This window comes from Homo sapiens, chromosome 1 (assembly GCF_000001405.40).
Source record: "Homo sapiens chromosome 1, GRCh38.p14 Primary Assembly".
Taxonomy (NCBI): Eukaryota; Metazoa; Chordata; class Mammalia; order Primates; family Hominidae; genus Homo; species Homo sapiens.
Window position 1 is genome coordinate 166,382,738 of NC_000001.11, and position 6,482 is coordinate 166,389,219.

At 42.2% G+C, this 6,482-nt stretch overlaps 1 annotated feature.

The window, feature by feature from the left end:
• Positions 326-1,146: an enhancer, noted in NCBI's record as "OCT4-NANOG hESC enhancer chr1:166352300-166353120 (GRCh37/hg19 assembly coordinates)". NCBI's record gives its function as "activates a minimal SCP1, AML or CMV promoter by ChIP-STARR-seq in primed H9 embryonic stem cells {active_cell/tissue: H9 hESC(primed)}" and the evidence as "EXISTENCE:reporter gene assay evidence [ECO:0000049][PMID:30033119]".

Sequence of the window (6,482 nt, forward strand, 5' to 3'; positions counted from 1 at the left end):
GCATCTCTCCTAAAAAAATGACTTTTAATAAAGAAATGATCTGGGCTTTCCAAAGGTGTTTTAGTTATATATGTGATATTTCATTCTTCATTTAACCATTTATCAAATATATTTCAAGTACTTAATAATTATGTATTATCCTATAGTTTCACATGCTTTTGCATTGTCTCATTAGAACCTTACAACAGCCTTCTGAGCAGGGTAAATAAAATGTGTCCAGTTTTACAGAAGCAATAGAGAAGCAGTGAATTTGGGATTCCAAGGAGGTGAAACATGGCCCTATTTTAGCTTAGGGTCTTTTGTGGCCACATTCTGGGTTTAAAAGAATAAACTATTTAGGGACTTCAGTGCTAGGCTAACAGAGATTAAGTGACTTGCCCAAGGCCACACAACTATTAACTGGCAAATCCAGAATGCCATCCAAGACTTTTGAATCCAGTCAATTATTCTTTCCTACACCCCAGTGGGTTTATTAAAGCATAGATTGCTGGCTGTATTCCAGCATGTTTGATGGGAAGGGGGGATTTGCATTTCAACAAGTTTCCAGGTAACACTGAAGCTGCTGGTCTCCAGACCACAAGCAGAGAACTACTTGTTGTTCAAAGTGTGGTCCCAGCAGGCATCACCCAAGAGCTCCTTAGAAAGGCAGATTCTCGGAACCACAGAATTAGATTCAGAATTTTAACAAGATCTCTGGATGATTTGTATGCAAATTAAAATTTGAGAAGTGCTGCTGTACACCACAGCTGTCAGTTTGCAGGGCACCGTACTGGGTGCTACAGAGACAGGAGAGAATAATCATAATAACCCTTTAATTGGGCACTTTCTATATGGCAGGCACCCCTCTAAGCACATTAGGTATATTATCTCTTTTAATCTTCACAATAACCCCCTGAGGGAGAGACTAATATTATTGCTGTTTTAAAGCTGAGGAAATGCCAGAGTATAGAGAGGTTGGTAATCCAGTACAAGACAGATCCGGGCTCTGAAGCTGGGCAGTTCACTCCCAAAGACCATGTTCTCGTTTACTAGGCTGGAGCTTTGTTAAGTTGTGGTCGCCGTTCATACAGTTAGGGAGGTAAGAAGGAAAGGCAGGCAAATAGGTATGAGGCAAGACAGAGCTCATAGCCTGAACATCGTGTCTAGGTCAAGGGAGTCTATTTGTGTTCCCCACTGGAGACCTGGGTTTGGCTGGGCCTCTGCAGCAGCTTCTGATGAGGAAGACTTTGGTGAGTCTTGCTTAGTATCTCCACTGGTAAAACTGAAGTAATCTTAACAACAATTGATAAAGAGAAAAGACACTGGCGGCTAGACTAAAGGGAGGGTACTGAGAATTGAAAATAGAAACCACAGTTTTTCAAAGCCGATTGTGCAAAACAGATAAACTGTATCAAATCAAAACCATAGTGTTCATCTGCAGCTAGAGAAACTTTCAGTCTTTTAACACCAGTCTGTTCAGATCCGTGAGCTCCAAGATAAGACCACAGACAACTGATCTAACAGTGACTCTGTATGACCAAATCATTCTAAATACAAAGCCACAGACTGTTCCAAACTCCCGAGTTCATTCCTGCTAAGCCCACCCTAGGACTAACTCCAGCTCCCAAGCCGTATATGGACCTTTTTCTGACTCCCCCACTTTGGAGAGGCCCCACAGCTCCCCATGCTATATGGTCTTCCTTGCTGCAGCAAGTAAGAACCTAACTTTATTCCTGTGGATATGTTCCCCGTGGTCTTTGGCTGATGGGCACCGACCCAATAATATTTTCCTGCCTGTCCCATAGAGTTGTTATGAATATCACATGAAATAAAGCATGGAGAATGCTACATAAATGTGAGCTTCTAAATTTGTTATTGTAATTGTTTATGTGCTGTTTCATCTTCCCTCTGCAAAAATAGTGACGTCCTAAGTTAGAAGAGACCAGATCATATTTATCTTTGTGTCCTCAATGTCTAGAAAAGTCCATAATGCATAAGGTCCTCAGTAACTGTTGGTTGAATGGAAAAAACAAATAAATGAACAAATGAAAAGAAAATCATGCTCTAGTTCTCCTTTTCTCCAGTCCAGCCCCGTGAGTGATCCAGACTTCCTCAAATGGGGTAAAGGAATTCCTAAGTGTTTAAATGTGAGCTTTACCTCCTGGGCAGACTGTCACTAGCACTTTGTAACAGTTACAGATAACCTTGTTTGTCTCTTAAAAGTTTTCCTACCTGCAAGGTGGCTGGAATTGCTAGAGGGAATACTATTCCCTTTGCCCACAAAATCGGTCCTGGAGCAATAACCGTGCAGTTGAACAGCAGCACATTTTACAGCCCATGGAGCTGGTGTGTATCAGCACATTAGCCAGCACCTCTTGTAATCACGCCCACGTTTAGAGGAATGATATACTTAGGTGCTTTTGTAATAGACTTGCACCAAGCAGAAATCATGGCCCGTGGAACACAGTGGCTCCACTGAACATTCTTAAATACTTTTAGCACAGCAAGTTCCTGTTATGGCTGGAGTCTCTGGGGATGCCTTCGATCAGTTAGAAGCTGCCAGAAAATTCCTCATACTCCAAAAGCACAGACGCTGTCCAGTGCTGTGTCTTCCTTTCTCCCCTCCAGTTCTGGCAGTAGATGGTCCATTTTAACTTCCCCTCTCCCTTGAACCCACTTTCTAGTTGTCATGATTTCTGACAGATGCACCTTGGGGAGTAGGCAGGCATTTACCCTGGTGTAGGAGGGATGTAAGTAGACATCATTAATGGAACAAGCAAAAGCAGTTATCTCAGGAAGCACAGGCCCTACAAGTTGGAATGTAGGCCAATGCTTTCTGAAAGCATATTCTCTGCTAAGGCTTACCCTGCTGGGTATTTTACAAGGGAAACAACCCCAACAGTGTGTTCCCTTTCCAATGCCCTCTCCCTAGGACAGGAGTAAAGACAAAGAAAATGCTGTATGGGCTTCCCCTCTCACTTCTAGCCATCAGAGGTGCATTTGCCCCTGAAACAAAAATGGAATGTGTCTTCAATGGGTTCCAATGCCAGTATTGAACTCCCCTAAGCAAGCCAAGAGACAGGGATTGTAGAGGCCTCCCGCCAGGAATTTAATGGCTTCTATGCAATTCCCAGTTTCTTCTCCCTGCCCAGAACCTGCTATCAGACTGGATAGGATAATGTTGACTTAGGTGGATAGATAATGTTGACTTAGGCAAGAGTTTTTGAAAAGTAGTCCCCTTCACGTTGAACATTGGTGTCTAATTAGAACCTTGAGTTTGGCTAGTTACATACCCGTACATTTCCCATTTCCTTCTCTGTTCATTTCCCCTGATATTATTCGTGCACACATCTATTTTTTCCATTAGAATATATGCATCTATTGAGTAGCATTCTCTTCTCTTCCCCTTGTCTACCCTAGAGCTTAGTACAGTGCTTGATTTGTAACAAGTGCAAAATAGATACACACATTCAAAGGAAACATATATGTGGCCAAAGATCATGTGATTGTGGCAATTCCAATGGATTTAAGATTCAGTCTGAGCCTTACATTGGCATTTCAAGGGTTTCCTCTCACACCCTGGCAATAATAACACACTGTTTTTCTCAGTGGAGACGGGATCTTGTGTCACTGGGAGAAAGAACGTGAGGGAAGCAGTCTGATCAATTCTTTCTGAATGAAAGACCTGTAAACACTTTCAACAATGGAACTCTTTGCTGTCACTCCCTAAAGCGGGCAGCCTCTGAGGCTCTTTGGAAACTTGTGTTAGCCTGGACCCATGATCCTGATCCCTTGCTTGCAGTCTCTTCTCAGACTCAATTAGATTCCTTGGGCTCCCCTCCAGGAAGCTGCTAGGGCCTCTACACCTCCCAGGTGGTTAGTTTCCTGGTGGGTGGCATTTTGTTAGAATTTATACATTATCTGTCCTTCAAAGACTTGTGGCTTTACTTGGCTTTTGCTGTCTATCATTTCCCACGTTTCCTGGGGTGGATTAGGGAGTTGGTGGAAACTCCCTGCCTGATTTCCTGGCTCTATTTGAGAATCCAAATATCCCAGGCAATTAGAGCAGGGGTGTAGGAAGGGGGTGCCTTAAGCAAAAACTGGCCAGACAGGAATTAATACCTTGATGCCCTTTTGAAGCAAGCAAGTTCACATATCTGCTCACCATGTATTTGGTAGAGGTAGGAAAGGATTTGCATGGACCCTGGAGCCAGATCACTCAAGTTCAAATCTCACCTCTACCATTTCTGGCTGTGTTATTTTGGGCATATTAACCTCCTGGTATTTCAGTTTCCACATCTCTAAAATGAGGATAATAGTAATAAGCACCTCTTATTATTGTTGTGAAGATTAGGAGTCCATATAAGTGGCCGGGTGTGGTGGCTTACACCTATAACTCCAGCACTTTGCAAGGCAGAGGTAGGCCGTTCACTTGAGCCCAGGAGTTTGAGACCAGCCTGGGCAACATAGTGAAACCCTGTCTCTAAAATAAAAATACAATAAATTAGCCGGGCATAGTGGCATGTGCCTGTAGTCCCAGGTACCCAGGAGGCTGAGATGGGAGGACCACCTGAGCCTGGGGGTTGAGGCTACAGTGAGCCATAATCTCACCACTGTACTACAGCCTGGGCAATAGAATGAGACCCTGTCTCAAAAAAAAAAAAAAAAAAAAAAAAAAAAAGAGTCCATATATGTAAGATGCTTAGAAGAGTGCCTGACACATAGTGAGTTCTCATTATTAGCTATTGCTCTTGTCAAAATAGAACTAGTACAGAATTTCTTTGTGTTCAAAGTAGTTTTTTAAATTTTTCATGAATATAACATAGACTTTAAACTAATTTTGTGTTATAGTTTTTGTGTTATTTATGACTGGATTCATTAATACATACTACTCATTAAGGACAGAGTTAATTTACCTGACAGAAAGATTTTGCTTGAAAAACTTATCCTATTAATGTTTAATATGTGTTTCTCAGTCCTTGCTTTCATGAAGGGAAAACATTTCTTGCTTTCTTATTTATCTCTTCAGTGTTCTTTTGTCATGTTCTCAATCAGACAAGTTTTGGGTGGCATATTAAAGGGTTTGGGGCTGACTTAATGGAGTCAATCAGTCTTTCCTGGTAAGCAGCACTTCAGCGCGTGTCAATCATTAGTTCTCAGAGTTCCAGCAGAGTGGGGTCTGCTTCAGATGCCATCACTGACTGTCTTTGGGATGGGTGGCTTGGCCTGGTACCAATTTTCATGTTGGTATAAGAAACTTCTCAGTGGACAGAGGTTGATGCTAAGAATGCTATTCTTTCCATTAGAAAGCATCATTTCCTTTGGTGAGAGGGGTCACGGCCTGGGTTCTTCTCTTCAGGAAGGGGTACATGAGGTCCAGTCTTCAGCTTTATTCTTCTGATGCTTTAAAGTTTGTTGCGCATGATGCTCCAACCAGCTGCTCCTTGCCTTGACTGGGCTCCTCCCTGAGCCTATGTTGCTGAAAAATTCGGAGAAATTTGAAAGGATGAAAGTTGATGCCTGTAATCGCAGAGACTGGGGGTGCTCAGGCAGGAGGATCACTTGAGCCCAAGAGTTTGAGGCTACAGTAAGCTATGATTGTACTGCTGCACTCCAGTGTAGGTGACAGAGCAAGATCCCATCTCTGAAAAAAAAAAAAAAAAGAAGGAAGAAGGAAGGGAAGGGAGGAGAGGCAAGTGAAGGGAAAAGAAAAGAAGAAAGGAAAGAAGGAAAGAGGGAAAAAAGAAAGAAAGAAAGAAGGAAGAAAGAAAGAAAAGAAGATGAAAATGTGCAGAAATGTCCCCACATTCATCATTAAGATTATTAAAAGTCCCTCCTCCCAAACTATGCTCTTGGACCTAGAACCTATCTTTTCTCTTCTGCCAGTTCTCATCTTTCCAAGAATAGCATAATAGAAAGATGGGATAGATGTGGATTCAACTCTCTTTTTGCTGCTAGTCAGCTGTCTGACCTTGGAGAAGCTATTTAGCCTCTCCAATCCTCTATTTCCTCAACTATAAAATAGGAGTAATAATTCCAGGGTTGTTGTCAGGATCAAATTAGTTATTTTTTGTGGAATATATAGAACAGAATCTGAACTCATTAACAGCAGCCATTAGAAGTGGCTGCAAATAATCTCTTTTGTAAAGATTTATCAATCCCAACTACCTGCAGTAAGAAGTTATTCTGGAATATTGACTTTCTCCCATCTGAAATATGAGCTTTTCAAGGCCAACAACAGTGTCTCTACTATCTCTGTAGTCCCAACACCAGCGCAACACCTACTGAATCCCTTCCCTCTAGAGTGAATCTTAGGGATCACGAGTTTCATTAATTTCATCAGCTCACTGGGATGTCAGCCTATGGATAATCAGACTGAGCAAAGGAGTCACCTGTTGATAGTTAAGTAAGGTGTGAAGAAGATGCAAGAGAAACTAAAGTAAAACCCAGGTGCAGTGTGGGCTACTTAAAGGCCCGTGGTCACAGAGAGATTGCAGTATGGA